General features: G+C 38.2%; 1 pseudogene, besides 1 other annotated feature; it reads right to left on the bottom strand.

The window, feature by feature from the left end:
- RPS10P8 (ribosomal protein S10 pseudogene 8) lies at nucleotides 425–1,016 on the bottom strand (annotated as a pseudogene).
- Nucleotides 16,974–17,524: an enhancer, noted in NCBI's record as "H3K4me1 hESC enhancer chr1:158181915-158182465 (GRCh37/hg19 assembly coordinates)". NCBI's record gives its function as "activates a minimal SCP1, AML or CMV promoter by ChIP-STARR-seq in naive H9 embryonic stem cells {active_cell/tissue: H9 hESC(naive)}" and the evidence as "EXISTENCE:reporter gene assay evidence [ECO:0000049][PMID:30033119]".

Here is a 26,870-nt window from a genome sequence, read left to right on the forward strand (position 1 = left end):
TGCTATAGTATTGAACACCAAACTTATTCCTTCTATCTAACTGTATGTTTTTATGCATTAATATGGCCACACCACATTTTCTTTATTCATTTATCCATTGATGGACTTAGATTGATTCCATATGTTGGCTATTGTGACTAGTGCTATTGTTTTCCATAATAGCTATACTAATTTACATTCCCATCAACAATGTATAAGAGTTCCATTTTCTACACAACTTCGCCAGCATTTGTTATGGTTTTTTTTTTTGATAGTAGTCATTTTAACTGGAGTAAGGTGATATCTCATTGTAGTTTTGATTTGCATTTCCTTGATGGCTAGTGATGTTGAACATTTTTTGATATACCTGTTGGTCATTTGTATGTCTTCTTTTGGGAAATTTCTATTCATATCCTGTGCCGAGTTTTTAATGAGATTTTTTTTTTTAATTTTTTTTGGCTGTAAGTTTATTTAATGCAAAATAATCCTCTCCAACTTTACTGAGGTGGCTGACCACCTCCACAACCAAATCTGCCTCTAAACTGGAATTCCGTCTCTGACCCAGCCCCAGCCTCAGCCTCAGCCTTCCTGTCGGCATCAGGGGGCACAGCAATCTGCCTGTAGGTATCTCTGTCGGCTTCCCCTCTTGTGAGTCTTGCAGGTCGCTCACCCTTCAGACCTTTAGGCTGAGGCCTGCCAGTCTCAGAATGGCTGCGGCGTAGGGTGGCAGGCACAATCTCTGGGGCATATGAAGGTAATCACGGAGATACTGGATGCCCTCATTGGTAAGGTAGCAGTAGAGATGTCTCCAGGCAAACTGTACCTTCACTTAGCCTCGGGACTTGAGAGGCTGCATGGCCTTCATGACATGATGGTTGGGCACATTCTTGTCTGCCAGCTCCAGGTGCTTAGGCATGTGGACATCCTTCTTGGCCACCATGACTCTCTCCTTAAAAAGGAGTTCATAAATGGGAATCCAGTTCTTCTTAGGCATCAATATCTCGGCGGCTGTAGGGTAGGGGTCTGGGGCTGGAAAGCCCGCCCTCCGTCCCTTCCTTCCTTCCTTCCTTTTGCTGTTGTTTGAATTTCTTGTATTTTGTGGATATTAGGCCCTTACCAAATGAATAATTTGGAAATATTTTCTCCCATTCTGCAGATTGTCACTTCACTCTGTTGATTGTTTCCTTTGCTGACCAAATAAAGCTTTTTAGTTTAAGATAGTCCCATTTGTCTTTGTTTTTGTTGCCTGTGCTTTTGGGGTCTTAGCCATAAAATCTTTGCCTAAACAATGTCCTGAAGCATTTCCCCTGTGTTTTCTTCTGGTGGTTTTATAGTTTCAGGTCTTACATTTAAGTCTTTATTCTGTTTTGATTTGATTTTTGTATATGGTGAGAGATAGGAATCTAGTCTTATTCTTCTGCATGTGGATAGCAAGTTTTCACAGCACCATATTTTATTTTATTTTAGTGCATCATACTGTACTTGATTTATTGACATTAGTTAGTGATTTATTGGACAAAGGCCAAACCTTTTGTTTCTTATTAAGCACCTTCCACAGTACAAACTGTCATGAATAATATCTGTACAACTTAACAGTTTCAGTAGCTGTTCAGATACAAATTGATTTCAAACAGATAACTGGCAAACATAATTAAAGTCACAGTTAGACTACCCAAGTCTATAAACTTGGGTATAAAACTTGGCTATAAAACATTAGTATATCAGTAATTTACAGTGTTCAATTATGGTTGGTAAAATTAAGTTGGAGTATGGCTGGGAATTACTATTATAATCCCAGAAAGTCAGAAGTTTTTAGACACCAAAGCATCCTGCTATAAATTAGTAGGCACAATTTAAAGGTTGTATGCATATTCAAAGGCCATGATCTCTCGAGGAACTTGTATATTAAAAATGCAAAACAACAAAAAATATATTCATTCAGAAAGAATTTCCTTCTCCCCTCCCCCATTACTTCCCCTGGGCTCTCCTAACCTATCTGATATTAAAGCTGTAAGATAAGGCATGAATAAAGTTAAATGACTTTCACATCCACCTTAGAAATGAAGGCTTAGTTTTTACGCTTTGAGACTCAACTTTTCAAAAGCAGAAATTAACTTAGTAAAATGTGAGAGGAGAAGATGTACTTTTAAAATAAGGAAAATAAAAAATGAAAAAGCAAAGCCAACCCAACAACCAAATCACATACACACACATTGATCCCACACTGTTTTCAATACAAAGGACAAAGTAGAGCCCAATGACCTTCCAAATAGTAGTAGAGCCAGCTCCATTTATTGAACAGCATGTCCTGTCCCTAATGTATGTTCTTGTGCCTTTGTCAAAAATCGGTTGGCTGTGAATGTGGACTTATTTCTAGTTTCTCTCTCCTGGTCCGTGTGTCTGTTTTTATACAAATACTAGGACGTTTGCTTCCTACGGCTTTGTAGTATATTTTGAAGTCAGGTGGCGTGACGGGCCTCCAACTTTGTTCTGTCTGCTCAGTATTGCTTTGGCTATTTGGGGTCTTTTGTGGTTCCACACAAATTTTAGGATTGTTTTCTCTATTTCTGTGAAGACTGTCATTGGCATTTTGATAGCAGTTACATTGAATCTATATTTTGCTTTGGGTAGTATGGATATTTTAACAATATAATTCTTCCATTCCTTGCAGATGGGATGTTTTTTCCATTTGTTTGTGTCATCTTCAATTTCTTTCAATAATGTTTTGCAGTTTTCCTTAGATATCTTTCACTCCCCTGGTTAAATTCATTCCTAGGTATTTTATTTTTTTGTAGCTATTATAAATGGGATTGCTTTCTTGATTTCTTTTTCAGCTACCATGTTGTTGGTGTATAGAAATGCTTCTGACTTTTGCATGTTGACTGATTTTGTATCTTGCAACTTTACTGTGTTGATCAGTTCTGAGAGTTTTTGGTGGAGTCTCTACATTTTTCTAGATATAAGATCATGTAATCTTCAAAGAGGGGGCAATTAGACTTCCTCTTTTCTAATTCGGAAAACCTTTATTTCTTTCTCTTGCCTGATTGCTTTAGACAGAACTTCTAGCACTGTGTTGAATAAGAGTGGTGAAAGAGAGCATATTTGTTTTGTTCCAGTTCTTGGAAGAAAGGCATTCAGCTTCTCCCCATTCAGTATAATGTTAGCTGTGGGTTTGTCATATATGGCCTTTGTTATGTGGAAATATGTTCCTTCTATGCCTAATTTGTTGCCAGTATTTATTATGAAGGGATATTGAATTTTATCAAATGCTTTTTCTGCATCTATGGAGATGATCATATGGTTTTTTTTGTTTTTTATTCTGTTGATGTGATGTATCACATTTATTGATTAGCATATGTTTTATGTAGCAGGAGCTCCTGGGCTCATGATAGAATGATGGAATTTTAGATCACATGGAATTTTAAACATAATTACATTTTATAATCCTTTCAACCTAGAAGGAGATAATTATGAGAAAGATTAGATCAGTTATGAACAAAATAAAGAAACCATAATTTTCTTTGCAATTTGGCTATGATTTAAACACAACATACAATTTTCTGTGTAGCGTGTGAAAGGATGTGGAACACATTTGCTCCTATGGTAACATAAAAAAACCCCCACCCCTCAGATGTTATAAAACTCTTACTCATTTATGAAACTACTGAAGAATGGTAGTTGCAAGAAAAGTCCAGAAGGACTAATTTTCAGAGAGGGGAGCCCTTTGTGAGTGACCGTTAAGCAGTGGCAGTTTGTGGAGGCAAAGGCGGAGAAGAAAGCCTGCCAAAGACTGAGATAGATGAGCTGTTGGCACTTTGGTGGCCAGGCAGGGACACTGGAGTCTAGAAGACTCCCAAATGCAGCAATAATATACTTAACTCAGAAATGCTTTCTGGCGTCCCATTCCCATTTTACTGAGAATAGGGTGAGGCTAAAAAGCAGAAACAGGCCGGGCGCGGTGGCTCACGCCTGTAATCCCAGCATTTTGGGAGGCAGAGGCGGGCGGATCACGAGGTCAAGAGATCAAGACCATCCTGGCTAACACGGTGAAACCCCATCTCTACTAAAAATACAAAAAAAAAAAAAAAAAAAAAAAAAATTAGCCAGGCGTGGTGGCGGGCGCCTGTAGTCCCAGCTACTGGGGAGGCTGAGGCAGGAGAACGGCGTGAACCCGGGAGCCGGAGCTTGCAGTGAGCCCGCACCGCGCCACTGCACACTCCAGCCTGGGTGACAGAGCGAGACTCCGTCTCAAAAAAAAAAAAAAAAAAAAAAGGAAAAAAGCAGAAACAACTTTCTAGTCTTACGTATTCTTGTGGTGCCTGGGAACAGAGTTCTGCTCCTACTGATTCAAAAGGTAAAACGCAGGTCCAAGACACACTAGGCTCCAGGATTGAACATTGATAAGATCAAAGACATTAGGCTTTGGAGGCCGGGCGCAGTGGCTCATGCCTGTAATCCCAGCACTTAGGGAGGCGAGGCGGGCGGATAACAAGGTCAGGAGTTCGAGACCAGCCTCACCAATATGGTGAAACCCCATCTCTACTAAAAAATACAAAAATTACCCGGGCATGGTAGCGGGCACCTGTAATCCCAGATATTCAGGAGGCTGAGGCAGGAGAATCACTTGAACCTGGGAGGCGGAGGTTGTAGTGAGCCGAGATCGCACCATCGCACTCTAGTCTGGGCAATAAGAGCGAAACTCCGTCTAAAAAAAAAAAAAAGAAAGAAAAAAGAAATTAGGCTTTGGTAGAATCAGCTGTGGCATCAGGAGGAAAGCCTAACCAGTGATGAATTCAATCTTAAAAATTGCTGCTTAGTTCAAGATTAACCCGATACTCAGTGAAATATGAATAATCACTTTCCTACTTTGGCAGCCACACATAGAAGAGATTGCGCATGCCCGGAAATAAAAACAAAGCAAAAGAGTTGCGTAAGTCAGTCTTCACTGTTATCCATGTACTACGTTCAGTATACCATAAAACATGACCACAGATGTAAATACTGTGTTCAGTATGACATAAAACATGACCACAGATGTAAAAAAAAGGGACCCATAAGAAAATCAACAAATCAAAAGCAACAAATTCACAGATAACCCAGACATTGGAACTGACAGAAAAGGATTTTAAAAACTAGTATTATAAATATATTTGGGAAATTATAAGATAAAATGAATGGATGAATATATGAAGAATCTTGTAAAATAAATAAAAATTAGAAAAGAAACTCATAGAATGAATTCTGAAAAACAAAAACATACCTGGTGGCCTTAACAGTAGAACAAGCAATGCAGAAGGAAGAGTCAATTGTCTTGAAGAAAGGTCAATAGAAATCATCCAAAATAAGACATAGAGAAAAAATACTGAAATATTTATAAATCTATACAGTGTCTACAACTTTTTAAAATAATAATTAGACTCGGGCAGAAATAATCTTTTAAGAAATAATGACCAAATTTTCCCTAAATTGAAAAATATTAATCTATAAGTTCAGAAATCCTAGTGAATTTCAAACAGAATAAATACAAAGAAACTATGCCATGGCATGTCATAGTCAAACTGCTGACAGAGCAAAGCATAGAGAAACTTTTCAGCATAGATAAGCTGCTGAAAACCAATGATAAGATAATTTTAAAAACAACCATGAAAAAAGACAGCACATCCAGGGGAACAATGGGAAGAATGGCAATTGACTTCTTACTAGAAATGGAAGCCAGAGAAGAGGGAATAAAACACATCTTTAAATTACTAAGAACAAACAAGCAAGAAGAAACAACCCATCAACTTAGAATTCTACTTGCAGCAAAAATATCCTTTACAAATAAAAGTGAAATAAAGACATTTTGAAAATGAAAATGAAAGTGCAGGGAATTTGTTGCCTGTAGACCTACTAAGAAATGCTAAAAGAAGTCTGTCAAGATGAAGAGAAATAATACAAGTTATAAACTCAGATATAAAAGAAGGATGGAAAAGAATTGAAAATAGTAAATAAGTGGAATACTTTATAATAATAAATAAATTAATCAGTTCACAAAGAAGAAATAAAAATTATAAATGGCAATGCACTTAATAATAACATTTCAAAATTAATGATAAATAGATTAATAAAAACAAAGTAAAAATTAAATCACAAACATGGTTGGAGATTTTTAACACACTTTCTTTCAGCAACTGATAAACTGAACAGAAATCAATAAAGATATAGAAGATTTGAACAATACTACCAATCAATATGGCCTGATATACACCTATTGAACATTACATCTAATAACTTCTGAATATATGTGTTCTTTTCCTGCACACATAGGACATTTACCATGGTAGACCACATGCTGAGCCATAAAAAAGTCTAAATAAACATGAAAGAACTGAAATCACTGAGTATGTTCTCTGATCACAATGGAATTGAATTTAGAATCAATAACAATAAGAAATCTAAAAAATACTCAAATATTTAAAAATTAAGCAACACAATTCTAAATATTTCATGGATTAGTAAAGAATTCAAAAAAGAAATTAGAAAACATTTTTAAATAAATGATAATAAAGATACAACGTATCGAATTATGTGAGACACTTTAAACGTGGTGAAAACAGGAACTTCAGAGCTTCAAATATTAATGTTATAGAACAACAAGAAGGAATGTTTAATATCAGTGAGCTAACTTCCACCTTAAAAAGCAAGAACAAAAAGAGCAAAGTAAACCCAACATAAATAGGAGATAATAATAAAGATAAAGAAGAAATCAATAAAACAAAACAAACAATAGAGAAAATAACGCCAAATGTTTAGTTTTGAGATTAATAAAATTGATAGCTTCCTAGCAAGAATGATCAAGAAAAAAGAGAAAAATAACAAATTACCAGTATTAACAATAAAAAAGAATATTATAACAAATCTTATTATTAAAGAGATAAGTTGAAAATTTAATGAAAAAATTTATACCAATATATTTGAAAATGTACTTTTAAATGAAAAAAATCCTTAATGAACTCAATTTACTGAAAGTGAGACAGAAAGAACATTTGAATAGCTCTATGATGATAATTTGTTATTAAAATAACAAATAAATAGTAAATAATAAGTACAATAAAGCAAAAATAAAATAATAAATAACAAATATTAACATATTTTGTTTTAAAAATCCCTCTTATAAAGACAAAGCATCACCCAGAAGGCTTTGTGAATTCTATCAAACATTTAAAGAAGAAAAAATATCAATCTTACTTAAAATCTTACTTTAGGAAGATAGCATATTCCTAATACTGAAACTTTATAAACAAATTACAAGAAAAGAAAATTCAGAATAATATTACTCATAAAGTTAGACACAAACATCTTTAAATAGTTTAATAAAATCTAGCAATATATAAAAGATTATTAAATCATGATTATGTGGGGTTTATCACAGAAAAGAAAGATTGTCTTAATATTTGAAAATTAAAGTGTAATTAATCTCAATAATTTGCCGATACTTTATTCCTATATTCTCCTATATTTTGTTCCTATATAATTCCTATATTCAAAATATAGGAGAATGTAGAGAATTATAGAAAAATAATCATGTGTTTATTTGAATGGATAAACAGAAGTTTCGAAACATTCAACATCTGTTTATGACAAAAAGCTACTAGTAAATTAGAAATAAAAAGGAATTTCCTCAATTTGACAAAAAGCAACAACAAAAAGTTATAGCTAACATAACACTTAATGGTGATATTGTACACTTTTCTTATGTTGGGAACAAGGCAAGAATGTCTGTGCTCTGCATATCTATTCAGCACTGTACTGGATGTCCCAGTCTCATTAGTTAAGAATTAATTAGGCAAAGGCAAGAAGTTAAAGTCATAAACTGGAAAATAATAAGTCTACTACATTTATTTGTAGGTGACATAATCATTGTCTATACAACAAAGAACATTTAATTCCATTCTATGCTTTTTACTCAGTCCCTAGCCTGCATAAATAGTATACAATTTGCAAAGTTGGTAAGAGAACCAAATTAGCAATATGGTAATCCAATTCAGGACAAAGGACAATCATGGAAATTTGATTAGAAATGCATTAATGTGTTAACAAGCTACCTTTGCTCTATCTAAAACTTTAAATAAATATGAATAGCAGCAAAACCAACACAAACTATGATTTATAATGGATTATAATGGATAAAATGTCATATAGAAACATTGAAATCAATTTGGAAATCTAGAAAAATTGAATTTTTAAGAAATAATGGGTACAAAAGAAAACTCACAAATGCAAACCCTTTGTATAGGTGAAATTCATATTTGATTCACCAATTAGTTTTTTTTCACCATGAATATTTTTTTCATATGAAAAAGACTTGATGCTAATGAATATACTTTTAATACAACAAAGATAAAATGAGAAAAACATTATTTAACTTTGGTTTTATAATAATTAACTTGGCTTAATGGAATTCATTTGGTATACTTTAATTTGGAGATTTAAGTAAACACTGACTCCAGGAGGCTAGAGAAATTAGGATTTTTAGATTACAGATGCAATATGGAGATCTCATTTAACAATGACGGTAACTTTGAGATAAAATACGGGGGAAGTAGCCCAGAGGCAGCTAAAATTCTCCATATACAGTGAGGTCTTATCTACAAAGCTCCCCACATCAATATAGTTTACTTACAAGTACCAAATTGAGTTTGTCTGCTCTTCTGAAAGTGGTGAGTTAAGATAAGGGTCCCAACAGATGAACAGCTGTTACTGCAGGTGAGTGTTCTACATCAGGCACGGGATTTTCAACTCATAATGGAGTGACGTTGAACCACATACAATATTATGAGGATTTTCCCTTGAAACCGTTAAAGAGCTGTAACATGATGCTTGTGAATGTCACCACTAGGTGGCACTGAAAGTTAAACAGTTATTGAACAGGCTGTGGAATATTGAAGTTTTCCTATGGAAAAAAATTTGATTTTTTATGTTGTGTCTATATATTCTTCATTTGACCTTAAAACATAGCAGTAGCAGACATCTCTTGTACCGTGCCTTACACCTCAGCCCATTTGTTTTCCTCCAGCCCTTGGTGAGGCTCTTGGTTACAGAACCTCAGCTCAGCTCACTGCATATCCGCTGCTTTTTTGCACTAAGTCTTTATTCACAATGTGGTTGGGACACCTGTGAGAAGCTACTTAGCATTTATGAATGCTCAAAACTGAAAGTGTGGGGGAATTAAGACCCAATGGGCAATCCGTGACTATTAGGGGATGGGAGTCAGGGCTTTGTGTTCCTTTCATACCCCTCAGGTGGACAATTCTGAGGCAAGATCTTCATTGCTCATCAGAGGATTCCGGCGAGGTCAGATCCAGTTTTCCATAGTGGCGACCAGCTTGATAGTACCACTCTATTGACTTTCTCTCCTTTCTTGTTTTATTCTTTCCAATATATTAGCCTTAGTATCTGATAACATGCCCCAAAGTAAAGTCATTTATAAAGCTCCCCACGTTAATATAGTTTACTTTGGCTTTCTCTCCTTTCCTGTTTTAGAGTCGGCTTCCTGTAAGAAACCCAAGCATAACCTACTACCCTGATAAAGAACATTTTCAGCACCCAGAACTCTCCTTCATGGCTCCTTTTCCCATTCAACGCTCTTTAAAAGAGAACTAATAATCTATTAGTTCTATTTTTGAACTTCACATTACTGGAATCTTGGCCAGTACTATTTTTTGTTTGCCTTCGTAATTTCTTTTTTCTTTTCTTTTTTTTTGAGACAGGGTCTCGCTCTGTGCAGTGGTGTGATCTTGGCTCACTTTAGCCTCAACCTCCCGAGTAGCTGGGATTACAGGTGGGTGCCACCATACCTGGCTAATTTTTGTATTTTTTGTAGAGATGGGGTTTCACCATGTTGCCCCAGCTTGCTTTCTTTCATTCAACATTATTTCTGTGAGATTTATCCATGTTGTGGCATGTAGCAGTAGTTCACTCTTTTTCATTGTGGTGTAGTATTCCATTGTGTAAAATGTACCACAATTTATCCATTGTACTTGGGGTAGTCATTTGAATTGTTTCCAGATTTTAGCTATTTTTAATAATGTTGCTTTAAATACTTTTGTACACGTCTTTTTGTGAACATAAACACTCATGTCTTTTGTGAATAAACATAGAAATAAAATTGCTTGGTGATAGGTTAGAAATATTGCTTACATTTAATAGATACTGGAGAACAGTTTTTCATAATGGTTACACCAGTTTTGCCTTCCATCTTTTCTGCATCCTTGCCAATATTTGGTGTTACTAACTCTTAACTTTTGCCACTCTGATGGGAGTGTAGTGTATCTAATTGTTGTTTTAGTTCATATTTCCCTGTTGATGAATGGAACTTAACATGTTTTCATATGCAGTTAAACCATTTGGATATATTCTTTTGTGAAATGCCTGTTTAGGTTTTTGGGTTTTTTTTTTTGGGGTGGGGGGTGTCTATGTTTTCTTTATTTGAAGTTCTTTATATTTTGTGGGTACTAGTTCTTTGTTGGATACATGTATTGTGATTATATATCTATGTACATATTTTTTCTTTACCAATCTGTAGTTTTCCTTTTACTCTCTTAAAGCTATATTTTGATAAAAAGATTTTCTTCTTAATGGGATATAGTTTATTGACATGTTTCTTTATGGTAATTGTTATTTACTTGAGTAAATTATTTACTCTTTCTCCAAGGTTATGAAATATGCTCCTTTATCAGGGACTCTCAACTTAAGTGGGCATCAGAACCACCTGGAAGGCTTTTTAAAAATCATTGGGTCTGGAGTTTCTAATTCTTTGGTTCAGGGATAAATTCAGGAATTCGCATTTCTTACTATTCTCCAGATGATGGAATGGAGGATTGGTATTAGATCTTCTTTAATGTTTGGTAAAGAATTCAGCTGCAAAGCCATACGGTCCTGGGTTTTTTTTTCTTTTTTTTTTTTTTGAAGAGACATTTAATACTTGTTCAATATCTTACTTGTTATTGGTCTATTCAGATTTCTGATTTCTTCATAATTCAAGTCTTATTGGGTTACGAGTTTCTAGGAATTTATTTCTTCTAGGTCATCTAATTTCTTGTCGTATAGTTGTTCATAGCAGTCTCTTGTGATCCTTTGTATTTCTGTCTTATCAGTTGTAATTGCTCCTCTTTTTTTTGGTGAAACTGAGTCTCACTCTTTTGCCCAGGCTGGAGTGCAATAGTGTGATCTCGGCTCACTGCAAACTCTGCCTCCCAGGTTCAAGCGATTATCCTGCCTCAGCCTCCCCAAGTAGCTGGGATTACATACACCCGCCTCCTCACCCAGCTAATTTTTGTATTTTCAGTAGAGTTGGGGTTTCACCATGTTGGACAGGCTGGTTCTTGAACTCCTGACCTCAGGTGATCCACCCGCCTTGGCCTCCCAAAGTGCTTGGATTACAGGCGTGAGCCACCGTGCTCGGCCTCTTTTTTTTTTTTAGATGGAGTCTTGCTCTGTTGCCCAGGCTGAAGCATAGTGACACAATCTCAGCTCACTATAACTTCTGCCTCCCAGGTTCAAGTGATTCTCCTGCCTCAGCCTTCTGAGTAGCTGGAATTACAGACACCTGCCACCACGCCCAGCTAATTTTTGTATTATTAGTAGAGACCAGGTTTTTCCATGTTGGCCAGGCTGGTCTCAAACTCTTGCCCTCAAGTGATCCGCCTGCCTCTGCCTCCCAAAGTGCTGGGATTCCAGGTGTGAACCACCACGCCCGGCCTCCTGTTTCATTTTTTATTTTATTTATTTGAGTCTTCTTTCTTGCTCTTTTTTTTTTGTTTTTGTTTTTTTTTTTTTGCTTAGTATAGCTAAGGGTTTGTCAATTTTGTTTAGCTTTCCAAAAAACCAACTCTTAGTTTAGTTGACCTTATCTATTGTTTTTCTAGGTGTTACTCTGATTTTTGTTATTCTTTCCTTCTGCTAACTTTGGGCTTATTTTGTTCTTCTTTTTCCAGTTTCCTTGAGGTGTAGTGTTAGGTTGTTTATTTGAGATCTTTCTTCTTTTTGGATGCAGGAATTTATTCCTTTAAACCTCCTTCTTAGAACTCTGTTTTGCTGCATCCTACACATTTTGGTATGTTATGTTGCCATTTTCATTTGCCTCAAGATATTTTTATTTTTATTTTTATTTTATTTTTTTTTTTTGAGACGGAGTCTCGCTCTTTCACCCAGGCTGGACTGCAGTGGCGCTGTCTTGGCTCACTGCAAGCTCCGCCTCCCGGGTTCACGCCATTCTCCTGCCTCAGCCTCCCAAGTAGCTGGGACTACAGGCGCCCGCTACCACGCCCAGCTAATTTTTTTTTGTATTTTTAGTAGAGACGGGGTTTCACCGTGTTAGCCAGGATGGTCTCGATCTCCTGACCTCGTGATCCGCCCGCCTCGGCCTCCCAAAGTGCTGGGATTACAGGCGTGAGCCACCGCGCCCGGCCGCCTCAAGATATTTTTAAATTTTCTTCTTAATTTCTTCTTTGACCCAATAGTTATTCCAGAGCATAAGGTTTAATTTCCACATATTTGTTAATTTTCCATAATTTATTCTGTTATTGCTTTCTAGTTTTATTCTGTTGTAGCCAAAAAGATAATTGTTATAATTTCAATCTTCTTAAATTTATTAAGACTTCTTTTGTGGCCTGGCATATAATCTATTCTGGAGAATTTTCTATATGTATTTGAAAATAATATGTATTTCGTTGCTGTTGGGGGGAATGTTCTATATATTTCTGCTAGGTCTATTTGGTCTAAAGTGTAGTTCAAGTCCAGTGTTTCCTTATTATTGTTTTATGTCTGGATGGTATGGCTATTGTTGAAAGTGGGTTATTGAAATCTTCCACTACTATTGTGTTGCAGTCTGTGTCTCCTTTTAAATCTATTAATGTTTGCTTTACACATTTAGTTGCTCCAATGTTGGGTGCATATATATTTACAATTGTTATATCCTTAAGGTGAATCAATCCCTTTATCACTCTATAATGACCTTCTTTGTCTCTCTTCATAGTTTTTTTGTTACCTAAGGTCTATTTTGGCCAAAATAAGTATAGCTACTTATGCTGTCCTGTGATTTCCATTTGCATGGAATATCTTTTTTCATCCCTTTACTTTCAGTCTATAAGTGTCCTTTAAGGTGAAGCAAATCCCTTCTAGGAAACATATTGTTGGGTAGTTTTTTTTTTTTTTAATCCACTAAGCCAGTCTATATGTTTTAAATGGGAAATTGGATCTACTTACATTCAAAGTTATTATTGGTAGGTTAAGACTTATTGCTGCCATTTTGTTAATGGTTTTCTGGTTGGTTGTAATGTCTAGCAATTTGAGATTTGATGCTAAACATTATGAATTTTGTGTTGTTAAGCTCAAGATTTTGTTTTCTTATTTTAAAGTGTTGGACTTTGTTATGGCATGCTGTTAAATTATTTAAGGATCAGATTGAGCTTTACAAGGCTTGTTTTGAAGCTTTATTAGGGTAGGTGTAAAATAGTCTATTTTGAGGCTATGTCATCATATTACAAGTCATTATGATCTTGGAGTTATTATTGAATGCCCTGGCTATTCCACTAAGACTCCCCATTCTAATTATTCAGAATTCAAAAATTTTCCTACTCTGTGTGAGTTCAGGGGATTTTGATTTTACAGCTCATGAAACCTTAGTCATTCTTTGCCATGCCTTGTGAAATTTTGTAGTATGTGTGGACAGCTTTGTATTTGTCAACAGACTCAAGGGAAGTCCTATGCAGTCTTTGTGTACCTAAGTGCCCCTTTTCTAGTACATTGTTTTACAAATGACAGCCACCACAGCCTCCCCAAACTCCCTCTCTATCTCCTTAACTCAGCATGCATGTCATGCTCTCTTTGAGACTCTTTGTCCTCCAACATAGTAGTCTGGAAAGTGCATCTGTGCATTGAACTACAGCTGTCACATGGCTGATTTTGTTTGTTTCTATTCGCTAATGGATCATGGTTAATATCTGAAACCAGTTGTTTCATATTTTTTGCCATTTCCTAGTTGTTTATAGTGGGAAGTTAAGTCCAGGTCTAATTAGTTCATCATGGCTGTAAGCAGAATTCTGCATAAACTTTATAGGAGTAATTGGTGGCCAAAAAATCCTTTAGTTTTAAAAGCAACTATTTTTATCTTTTCTGTAGCTTTTAAATTCTCCTTTTTCTTAGCCATGTGATACTAAACTCTTGTGGTTTGAGTCTTTAAAGAGATATATATTTTGTCCTCTCAATTAAGGGGAAATATGACATTGGGCTTTATGATGGCTTCAGTGATTGTTGTGCTCATGCATCCAAAGAAACGTGAATTTCTCATCCCTATCCAATGATGGGTATTTATATACAGGTACCTGCTGCTTCATTGTGGATGAAAACTGGAATTCATATGTGAAAAGGAAAGCGAATGAAGAAGGTAGAAAGTGAGAGGGAGAGGGAGAGAGATGGTTTAGTGGAAGAATTCGGAATTTGTGTGACCAAACATATTGAACTTTGGTTCTTGACCTTTCATATGGGAATTTGTCAGTAGAGTGGAGGCAAAGAAAAGAAAGAGAAATCTGCTGTACTAGCTAAGACATATATTCCATTAAGAATAGAGTTTTGGTCCTTGTAAATTCATACATCTTTATATTCTCATATATTTTCATTTTGTTTTTCCTTTCTAGTTTTTCTGTAACTCTCATCAAATATCCTCAAATTTTATCTTATTTTATTTCAATAGTTTTTGGGTAATAGGTGGTTTTTGGTTACATGAATAAATTCTTTAATGGTGATTTCTGAGATTTTGGTGCACTTGTCACCTGAACAGTGTACACTGTACTCATTATGTAGTCTTTTATCTCTCAGCCTGTTCCCACCCTTCCCCTCAAGTTCCCAAAGTCCATCATATCATTCTTATGCCTTTGCATCCTCATAGCTTAGCTCCCACTTATAAGTGAGAACACACAATGTTTGGTTTTTCATTCCTGAGTTACTTCACTTAGAATAATGGTCTCCAACTCCATCAAGGTTCGTGCAAAGGCCATTATATCATTTCATTTTATGGCTGAGTAGTACTCCATGGTGCATATATACCACATTTTCTTTATCTACTTGTTGGTTGATGGGTATTTAGGTTGATTCCATGTTTTTTCAATTGAGAATTGTGCTGCTATAAACCTGTTCATGTACGTGTCTTTTTTCTATAATGACTTCTTTTCCTTTGGGCAGATACCCAGTAGTGGGATTGCTGGATTGAATGGTGTTTCTACTTTTAGTTCTTTAAGAAATCTCCATACTGTTTTCCAATAGTGGTTGTACTAATTTACATTTCCACCAGCAGTGTAAAAGTGTACCGTTTTCAACACATCCATGCTGACATCTAATTTTTTTTTATTTTAAAATTATGGCCATTCTTGCAGGAGTAAGGTGGTATCTTATTATGGTTTTAATTTGCATTTCCCTGATCATTGGTGATGTTGAGTATTTTTTCATATGTTTATTGGCTGTTTTTATATCTTCTTCTGATAATTGTCTATTCATGTCCATTGCCCACTTTTTGATGGGATTATTTGTTTTCTTTCTTGCTGATTTGTTTGCATTCCTTGTAGATTCTGGGTATTAGTCCTTTGTCAGCTGCATAATCTATGAATATTTTCTCCCACTTTGTGGGTTGTCTGTTTACTCTGCTGATTATTTCTTTTGTTGTGCAGAAGCTTTTTGGCTTAATTATATCCCTTCTATTTATTATTGTTTTTGTTGCATTTGATTTTAGCTTCTTAGTCATGAATTCTTTGCTTAAGCCGATGTCTGATTTTATCTTTTAGAGTTTTTCTGATTTTATCTTATAGAGTTTTTATGTTTTCAGGTCTTCTATTTAAGTCTTTGATCCGTCTTGAGTTGATTTTTGTATAAGGTGAGAGATGAGGATCCAATTTTATTCTTCTACATGTGGCTTGCCAGTTATCTTAGCACCATTTCTTCAATAGGATGTCCTTTCCCTACTTTGTGATTTTGTATGCTTTGTCAAAGATCAGTTGGTAGTAAGTATTTGGCTTTATTTCTGGGTTCTCTATTCTGCGCCATTGGTCTACATGCCTATTTTTATACTGATACCATGCTTTTTTGGTAACTATAGTTATAGTATTGTAGTGTAATTTGAAGTCAGGTAATGTTATGGCCCCAAATTTGTTCTTTTTGCTTAGTATTGCTTTGGCTATGCAGGCTTATTTTTAGTTCCATATGAATTTTAGGATTTTTTTTTCTAGTTCTGTGAAGAGGGGTGATGGTACTTTGATGGGAATTACATTGAATCTGTAGATTGCTTTTGGCAGTTTGGTCATTTTCACAATATTGATTCTACCCATTCATGAGCCTGGGATGTGTTACCATTTGTCTGTGTCATTTGTGATTTCTTTCAGCAGCATTTTGTAGTCTTCCTTGCAGAGATCTTTCACCTCCTTGGCTAAACATATTTCTAAGTATTTTATTTTATTTTTTGTAGCTGTCGTAAAAGGGATTGAATTTTTTAGTTGATTCTCAGCTTGGTCATTGTTGGTATATAACAGTGCTACTGATTTGTGTACATTGATTTTGTATTCTGAGACAATAGTGTATTCATTTATCAGATCTAGAAGTTTTTTGATGAGTCTTTAGTATTTTCTAGGTCTATGATCATATAATTGGCAAATAGTGACAGCTTGACTTTCTCTTTCTGTTTTGGATGCCCTTTATTTCTTTCTCTCATGTGATTGCTCTGGCTAGGACTTTGAGTGCTATGTAGAATAGAAGTGGTGAAAGTGGGCATCCTTGTCTTGTTCCAGTTCTCAAGGGGAATGCTTTCAACTTTTCCCCATTCAGTATGATGTTGGCTGTGGGCTTGTCATAGATGGCTTTTATTACTTTATGTCCCTTACATGCCAGTTTTGTCAAAGGTTTTTAATCATAAAGGCATACTGGATTTTGTCAAATGCCTTTTCTGCGTCTGTTGAGGTGATCATATGATTTTTGTTTTTAATTTTGTTTATGTGATATATCACATTTATCCTCAAATTTTTGATGAGCTGATTTTGGCTGTGCCTCTGAGTGGCTAGCAATATGTTACTTATGGAAAGTCATTTTGATATCCTTTTGATGGCAGTGGAGGGCTGCCTGGAGTGGCCACTGCCATCATGCCAGCTGCAGTGGGAAGGCATGATTGGTGGCAGCAAGAGGGGCTGCAGGAGCAGCAATGGTGGTGGTGGGTTCTCTGTGCCTGTATCCCCGTGATAGCCAACTGTGCCACCCCCATCCTTGTGCAGCCAGGTGGGACCTGCTCCCAGGCCCGGAGCCTCTGCCGCTCTGGATCCTGGCTCCGCCTCACTGTTCTCGCCCACCACTGCTGCGGGGAGGGCATGGGGAGGAGGCAGACAGTCCCTGGGGCCCGCCCCTAGGATCCTCCCATGGAGCCCTCTGCCCTGGGAGCCGCTGCCATGGGACTGGGCTGGGTTACCCACCAGCGGGGGAGCAACTTGATTGGCTACAGAGGAGCAGGCAGAGAGGAGCCCCGAGGTGGAGCTGGATCTGGAGTGATGTAGCACTCCACAGAGCCAGCAGAAGCCAGGAGCAGGCAACAGCCCTGCCCTCCTGGGCCTGGCTGCAGCTTCCCAAACTGCAGCTGTGGACCCAGGCATCTCTGCACTCTTGGAGGCCTGGGAAGGTCCCCCAGCCCTTGCAGGCTCAGAAGTGCCTGCTCCTCCTGCCTGCGTTTTCCCTGCTGTCAGTGCCTGCTCTGATCTAAGAGCAGTGTGGCGCTGAGCCGAGGCACTGTCACAGCCTGGCCAATGGTGTACATGCTCAGGCAGCCCTGACACACCAGCCGCCTGCTGCCTCATCCTCCTCTGGACTTTGGGCTCTGACAAGCATGGGAGGGAGGCCGAGGGAGAGCTGAGGACAGACTGGTGCTGGCCTTCAGGTGCCTCTTGGCATAAACAGCCTGGGTGCCATGAATGGCAGTAGGAGGCAGAAGGGGGTGCGTCCCCATTGAAGCCCCACCTTCAAGCCACGGAAGGCCTGAAGCTTGGGGGATGGTCTGCCAGTTCTACAGACCACAGGGGGAACCCATGGTGCTTTATCCTGGGCCCGCTGATGGCCACCCGTGGACCAATCAGCATGCACTTCCTTCCCTTTGAGGCCCGTAAAAACCCTGGACTCAGCCAGACTCCAGGAGAGGATGTAGAGATGATAGGGAGATGGCAGGACAGGACGATGAGCTGCAGAAAGGATCTGCCCACCCCAGGGTCTCCTCTCTGCTGAGAGCTGAGGAGATGATGAGATGACCAGCTGCAGAGGGAAACTACCTTCTCTGCTGAGAGGTGGACACTTGTGGGGATGACCTACCCAGCAGAGAAGAGCTACCCTCTCTGCTGGGAGGTGAAAACACCATTGGCACACACTGGCTATGGAGAGGAGCTGCCTTCCTTTGAGCTGTTCTATTGCTCAATAAAGCTCATCTTCATCTTGTTCATCCTCCACTTGTCTGCATACCTCATTCTTCCTGGTTGCAGGACAAAAACTCAGGAGCCACCAGATGGCAAGGCTAAAAGAGCTGTAACACAAATGGGGCTGAGACATGCCCCTTACTTGAAACATTGTGGGTGAGGAGAAGAAGAGAAGAGCTGTGGCTCTTCGGGAGCCCAGACCTAAGAGCCCCCCATGCCAGGGCTGTGGCTTCCTTTTTGGGGTCCTGCAGTTCCTGGTGTCTCAAACCTTCTGGGTGCCACTGCATTCCCTGGTGCTAGCCAGGGAAGCTTCTTGCAGTGCACCTGATCCAGCCACAGCCTTGCAGAGAGCCAGCATCCATGCCAGTACCTGGAACTGCCCACCCCGTGGCAGCAGCTGGTGTGTCTGACTGTGTACAGTGGCTGGATCCCACACTCTCTCACACACCTCTTGTCACTGTGCACCTGGCTCACCCTTGGCAGGTGTGGGATCCAGACTGGTAGTGTGAACCAAGTGCAGCCTGCCAGACCAAGTGGGTGGAATGAACCCAGCAGTCTCTGAGCAAAAGTTGGATAAAGGTGCCACTGGCCGCAGAAGATTCCAGCCAGAAAATTGACACCCCAAAGATCCCGTAACACTTTCACCCCTTAAATGGATAAGGATAATCTAGATTTCTGGTTGGGAACATCCCCTTTATCATTTTCTCAAAAAGTATTTCTTAGTTCTTGTGTATAAACTAAGTATTCTAGTCATTTATGTTATTGATAGAAGTCTAAAATATTTTATATAGAATATTTGGAAGCCAATCCCAAATGACAGAAGCCCACTGGGTCTAGGCTGGTTTGTGGATTCTTGTGAATCTCTTAAGAGCATGAGGTGGTAGAAGGCAGATTGAAGTTTCATGGAAGGAGTCAACTCAAGCACAAAGACCATAGCAGGACTCATAATCTCCATCACTTAGAAATATACAGGTAGATTCTTTCAGTGTCTAGAACAAGGAGATACCATAAATGTACATGGACAAGAAAGAGACGAATTCTCCCTTTTGTGTGATGTCCCTCTGTGGATCTTCATAGGCCTACAAATCATTGCTCTGCCAAAGTATATTCTAGTAGGTACATAAAGACTTTATATATACCTAGTAGGTACATAAAAACTTTCAAAGGGGGTATAGGGATGGACAGTATTAAGGGGATAAATTTCCAAATTTTATACATACTCTTCACCAAAATTCACATGCTTAGGTAATTTTCTTGATGCTTCTAACTTCCCATGACCCTTTTCATAATTGGTTTCCCATGAGGAAAAGCATATAGCTCATCCCTCAAAAGCTTATTTTGGTGTATTGTCAAGGAATGATGCTAAACTTCAGGGGTTCTAAACAAAAGAACAATTTGAAACATTGCTGATGTGGTTGAGAAAGTAAGTTCTTCTGTTGGCTAGATAAGAAATCCCTTTTCAAATTAATTGGAGTTACTTTTTTTAATTTAAAAAACTGAAATAAGATCTAAGTGAGTTTTCATCTGTGTAATTATTAAAAATAATTTTTGGTGATATATCATTATATGAATTTTGAGGTACAACTTAGCTGGAATTCAAGAAATTATGTAACATTGTATTTAAAATTCTTTTTTTTTTTTCCTACACACCACTATGTTCTGGGTTTTTATTTCAGCAATAGCATGTCATCAACAAAAACGTTTTTAAGCTTATCTTTTTTCCAAAAGAAAAAAAAATGCATATAAGTAATATAAAACATAGCCAGGTCTAAAAGCAGTGGAGGTGCCTAAGATGGAAAATTTAAGGAGGCATTTACTGTCACTTGCACAATCTTAGTATGAAATGTACCCTTGGTGCGCTGAACACTAAACTGACAATAAAAGCTAGTTAATTTAAGATACAGTGGCAAAATAGAATGTTGTGTTTCTTACTTTCATGGTTTCCTTACACAAGAATGAAAGTACTTTCAGTTTAAAAGGTTTTATTTGAATGTATTACCTCATTTAATCTTCAAAATAAGTCTTAAAATTAAGTGTTATTATTCATTTTATGAATCAGAAAACTTAGCTATTTTAGTAAACTGTGACTGAATACATTAGAAATATTCTTTGAGTGTGGAATAACATTTGTAGTTTATAAATATTAAAAATAAAACTTTTTCTTACAAAAGTGAGTTGATTTTATTTTATTTTTATTTTTATTTTTTTAAATTTTATTATTATACTTTAAGTTTTAGGGTACATGTGCACAACGTACAGGTTTGTTACATATGTATACATGTGCCATGTTGGTGTGCTGCACCCATTAACTTGTCATTTAGCATTAGGTATATCTCCTAATGCTATCCCTCCCCGCTCCTGCCACCCCACAACAGTCCCTGGTGTGTGATGTTCCCCTTCCTGTGTCCATGTTTCTCATTGTTCAATTCCCACCTGTGAGTGAGAACATGCGGTGTTTGTTTTTCTGTCCTTGCGATAGTTTGCTGAGAATGATGGTTTCCAGCTTCATCCATGTCCCTACAAAGGACATGAACTCATCATTTTTTATGGCTGCATAGTATTCCATGGTGTATATGTGCCACATTTTCTTGATCCAGTCTATCATTGATGGACATTTGGGTTGGTTCCAAGTCTTTGCTATTGTGAAAAGTGCAACAATAAACATACATGTGCATGTGTCTTTATAGCAGCATGATTTATAATCCTTTGGTTATATACCCAGTAATGGGATGGCTGGGTCAAATGGTATTTCTAGTTCCAGATCCCTGAGGAATCGCTACACTGACTTCCACAATGGTTGAACTAGTTTACAGTCCCATCAACAGTGTAAAAGTGTTCCTATTTCTCCACATCCTCTCCAGCACCTGTTGTTTCCTGACTTTTTAATGATCGCCATTCTAACTGGTATGAGATGGTATCTCATTGTGGTTTTGATTTGCATTTCTCTGATGGCCAGTGATGATGAACATTTTTTCATGTGTTTTTTGGCTGCATGAATGTCTTCTTTTGAGAAGTGTCTGCTCATGTCCTTTGCCCACCTTTTGACGGGGCTGTTTGTTTTTTTCTTGTAAATTTGTTTGAGTTCATTGTAGATTCTGGATATTAGCCCTTTGTCAGATGAGTAGGTTGCAAAAAATTTCTCCCATTCTGTAGGTTGTCTTTTCACTCTGATGGTAGTTTCTTTTGCTGTGCAGAAGCTCTTTAGTTTAATTAGATCCCAATTGTCAATTTTGGCTTTTGTTGCCATTGCTTTTGGTGTTTTAGACATGAAGTCCTTGCCCATGACTATGTCCTGAATGGTATTGCCTAGGTTTTCTTCTAGGGTTTTTATGGTTTTAGGTCTAACATTTAAGTCTTTAATCCATCTTGAATTAATTTTTGTATAAGGTGTAAGGAAGGGATCCAGTTTCAGCTTTCTACATATGGCTAGCCAGTTTTCCCAGCACCATTTATTGAATAGGGAATCCTTTCCCCATTGCTTGTTTTTGTCAGGCTTGTCAAAGATCAGATAGTTGTAGATATGTGGCATTATTTCTGAGGGCTCTGTTCTGTTCCATTGGTCTATATCTCTGTTTTGGTACCAGTACCACGCTGTTTTGGTTACTGTAGCCTTGTAGCATAGTTTGAAGTCAGGTAGTGTGATGCCTCCAGTGTTGTTCTTTTGGCTTAGGATTGACTTGGCAATGCAGGCTCTTTTTTGGTTCCATATGAACTTTAAAGTAGTTTTTTTCCAATTCTGTGAAGAAAGTCATTGGTAGCTTAATGGGGATGGCATTGAATCTATAAATTACCTTGTGCAGTATGGCCATTTTCACGATATTGATTCTTCCTACCCATGAGCATGGAATGTTCTTCCATTTGTTTGTATCCTCTTTTATTTCCTTGAGCAGTGGTTTGTAGTTCTCCTTAAAGAGGTCCTTCACATCCACTTGTAAGTTCGATTCCTAGGTATTTTATTCTCTTTGAAGCAATTGTGAATGGGAGTTCACTCATGATTTGGGTCTTTGTTTGTCTGTTATTGGTGTATAAGAATGCTTGAGATTTTTGCACATTGATTTTGTATCCTGAGACTGCTGAAGTTGCTTATCAGCTTAAGGAGATTTTGGGCTGAGAAGATGGGGTTTTCTGGATATACAATCATGTCTTCTGCAAACAGTGACAATTTTACTTCCTCTTTTCCTAATTGAATGCCCTTTATTTCCTTCTCCTGCCTAATTGCCCTGGCTAGCACTTCCAACACTATGTTGAATAGGAGTGGTGATAGAGGGCATCCCTGTCTTGTGTCAGTTTTCAAAGGGAATGCTTCCAGTTTTTGCCCATTCAGTATGATATTGGCTATGGGTTTGTCATAGATAGCTCTTATTATTTTGAGATATGTCCCGTGAATACCTAATTTATTGAGAGTTTTTAGCATGAAGGGTTGTTGAATTTTGTCAAAGGCCTTTTCTGCATCTATTGAGATAATCATGTGGTTTTTGTCTTTGGTTCTGTTTATATGCTGGATTACATTTATTGATTTTCACATGTTGAACCAGCCTTGCATCCCAGGGATGAAGCCCACTTGATTACGGTGGATAAGCTTTTTGATATGCTGCTGGATTCGGTTTGCCAGTATTTTATTGAGGATTTTTGCATCGATATTCATTAAGGATATTGGTCTAAAATTCTCTTTTTTGCTTGTGTCTCTGCCCGACTTTGGTATCAGGATGATGCTGGCCTCATAAAATGAGTTAGGGAGGATTCCCTCTTTTCTATTGATTGGAATAGTTTCAGAAGGAATGGTACCAGCTCCTCCTTGTACCTCTGGTAGAATTCGGCTGTGAATCCATCTGGTCCTGGACTTTTTTTGGTTGGTAAGCTATTATTTATTGCCTAAATTTCAGTGCCTGTTATTGGTCTACTGAGAGATTCAACTTCTCCCTGGTTTAGTTTTGGGAGGGTGTATATGTCGAGGAATTTATCCATTTCTTCTAGATTTTCTAGTTTATTTGCATAGAGGTGTTTGTAGTATTCTCTGATGGTAGTTTGTATTTCTGTGGGATCGGTGGTGATATACCCTGTGTCATTTTTTATTGGGTCTATTTGATTCTTCTCTCTTTTCTTCTTTATTAGTCTTGCTAGTGGTCTATCAATTTTGTTGATCTTTTCAAAAAACCAGCTCCTGGATTCATTGATTTTTTGAAGGGTTTTTTGTGTCTCTATCTCCTTCAGTTCTGCTCTGATCTTAGTTATTTCTTGCCTTCTGCCAGCTTTTGAATGTGTTTGCTCTTGCTTCTCTAGTTCTTTTAATTGTGATGTTAGGGTGTCAATTTTAGATCTTTCCTGCTTCCTCTTGTGGGCATTTAGTGCTATAAATTTCCCTCTACACACTGCTTTGAATGTATCCCAGAGATTCTGGTATGTTGTGTCTTTGTTCTCATTGGTTTCAAAGACCATCTTTATTTCTGACTTCATTTCATTATGTACCCAGTAGTCATTCAGGAGCAGGTTGTTCAGTTTCCATGCAGTTGAGCGGTTTTGAGTGAGTTTCTTAATCCTGAGTTCTAGTTTGATTGCACTGTGGTCTGAGAGACAGTTTTTTATAATTTCTGTTCTTTTACATTTGCTGAGGAGTGCTGTACTTCCAACTTTGTGGTCAGTTTTGGAATAGGTGCGATGTGGTGCTGAAAATAATGTATATTCTGTTGATTTGGGGTGGAGAGTTCTGTAGATGTCTATTAGTTCCGCTTGGTGCAGAGCTGAGTTCAATTCCTGGATATCCTTGTTAACTTTCTGTCTCGTTGATCTGTCTGTTGATGGTGGGGTGTTAAAGTCTCCCATTATTATTGTGTGGGAGTCTAAGTCTCTTTGTAGGTCACTAAGGACTTGCTTTATGAATCTGGGTGCTCCTGCATTGGGTGCTTATATATTTAGGATAGTTAGCTCTTCTTGTTGAATTGATCCCTTTACCATTATGTAATGGCCTTCTGTGTCTCTTTTGATCTTTGTTGGTTTAAAGTCTGCTTTATCAGAGACTAGGATTGCAACCGCTGCCTTTTTTTGTTTTCCATTTGCTTGGTAGATCTTCCTCCATCCCTTTATTTTGAGCCTATGTGTGTCTCTGCACGTGAGATGGGTTTCCCGAATACAGCACCCTGATGGGTCTTGACTCTTTATCCAATTTGCCCGTCTGTGTCTTTTAATTGGAGCATTTAGCCCATTTACATTTAATGTTAGTATTGTTATGTGTGAATTTGATCCTGTCATTATGATGTTAGCTGATTATTTTGCTCATTAGTTGATGCAGTTTCTTCCTAGCCTTGATGGTCTTTACAATTTGGCATGTTTTTGCAGTGGCTGGTACTGGTTGTTCCTTTCCATGTTTAGCACTTCCTTCAGGAGCTCTTTTAGGGCAGGCCTGGTGGTGACAAAATCTCTCAGCATTAGCTTGTCTGTAAAGTATTTTATTTCTCCTTCACTTACAAAGCTTAGTTTGGCTAGATATGAAATTATGGGTTGAAAATTCTTTTCTTTAAGAATGTTGAATATTGGCCCCCACTCTCTTCTGGCTTGTAGAGTTTCTGCTGAGAGATCAACTGTTAGTCTGATGGCCTTCCCTTTGTGGGTAACCCGAGCTTTCTCTGTGGCTGCCCTTAACATTTTTTCCTTCATTTCAACTTTGGTGAATCTGACAATTCTTGGAGTTGCTCTTCTCGAGGAGTATCTTTGTGGCATTCTCTGTATTTCCTGAATTTGAATACTGGCCTACCTTGCTAGATTGGGGAAGTTCTCCTGGATAATATCCTGTAGAGTGTTTTCCAACTTGGTTCCATTCTCCCTGTCACTTTCAGGTACACGAATCAGACGTAGATGTGGTCTTTTCACATAGTCCCATATTTCTTGGAGGTTTTGTTCATTTCTTTTTATTCTTTTTTCTCTAAACTTCTCTTCTCACTTCATTTCATTCATTTCGTCTTCCATTGTTGATACCCTGTCTTCCAGTTGATCGTATCAGCTACTGAAGCTTTTGGATTCATCACTTAGTTCTCGTGCCATGTTTTTCAGCTCCATCAGGTCCTTTAAGGACTTCTCTGCATTGTTTATTCTAGTTAGCCACTCATCCAATTTTTTTTCAAGGTTTTTAACTTCTTTGCCATTGGTTCAGACTTCCTCCTTTAGCTCGGAGTAGTTTGATCTTCTGAAGCCTTCTTCTCTCAACTCATCAAAGTCATTCTCCGTCCAGCTTTGTTCCATTGCTGATGAGGAGCTGCGTTCCTTTGGAGGAGGGGAGGCTCTCTGATTTTTAGAGTTTCCGGTTTTTCTGCTCTGTTTTTTCCCCATCTTTGTGGTTTTATCTACCTTTGACCTTTGATGATGGTGACGTACAGATTGGTTTTTGGTGTGGATGTCCTTTCTGTTTGTTAGTTTTCCTTCTAACAGTCAGGACCCTCAGTTGGAGGTCTGTTGGAGTTTGCTGGAGGTCCACTCCAGACCCTTTTTCCCTAGGTATCAGCAGCGGTTAGCTGCAGAACAGTGGATATTGTTGAACTGCAAATGCTGCTGCCTGATTGTTCCTCTGGAAGTTTTGTCTCAGAGGAGTATCTGGCCATGTGAATTGTCAGTCTGCCCCTACTGGGAGATGCCTCCCAGTTAGGCTACTCAGGGGTCAGGGACCCACTTGAGGAGGCAGTCTGCCCGTTCTGAGATCTCAAGCTGCGTGCTGGGAGAACCACTACTCTCTTCAAAGCTGTCAGAGAGGGACATTTAAGTCTGCAGAGGTTACTGCTGTCTTTTTGTTTGTCTGTGCCCTGCCCCAAGAGGTGGAGCCTACAGAGGCAGGCAGGCCTCCTTGAGCTGTGGTGGTCTCCTCCCAGTTTGAGCTTCCAGGCCGCTTTGTTTAGCTACTCAAGCCTCAGCAATGGTGGGTGCCCCTTCCCCAGCCTCGCTGCCACCTTGCAGTTTGATCTCAGACTGCTGTGCTAGCAATGAGCGAGGCTCTGTGGGCATAGGACCCTCGAAGCCATGTGCGGGATATAATCTCCTGGTGTGCCATTTGTTAAGCCCGTTGGAAAAGCACAGTATTAGGGTGGGAGTGACCCAATTTTCCAGGTGCCATCTGTCACCCCTTTCTTTGACTAGGAAAGGGAATTCCCTGACCCCTTGCGCTTCCCTGGTGAGGTGATGCCTCACCCTGCTTTGGCTCACACACAGTGCACTGTACCCACTGTCCTGCACCCACTCTCTGGCACTCCCCAATGAGATGAACCCGGTACCTCAGTTGGAAATGCAGAAATCACCTGTCTTATGCATCACTCATGCTGGGAGCTGTAGACTGGAGCTGTTCCTATTCAGCCATCTTGGCTCCACCTCCTGTCTTAAAATTCTTTCATTACTATATGTTAACTTATGTGAACATGATATCTCTCTGTTTTCATCCATAAAAAT

The sequence above is a fragment of the Homo sapiens genome, chromosome 1 (genome assembly GCF_000001405.40).
Source record: "Homo sapiens chromosome 1, GRCh38.p14 Primary Assembly".
Lineage (NCBI taxonomy): Eukaryota > Metazoa > Chordata > Mammalia > Primates > Hominidae > Homo > Homo sapiens.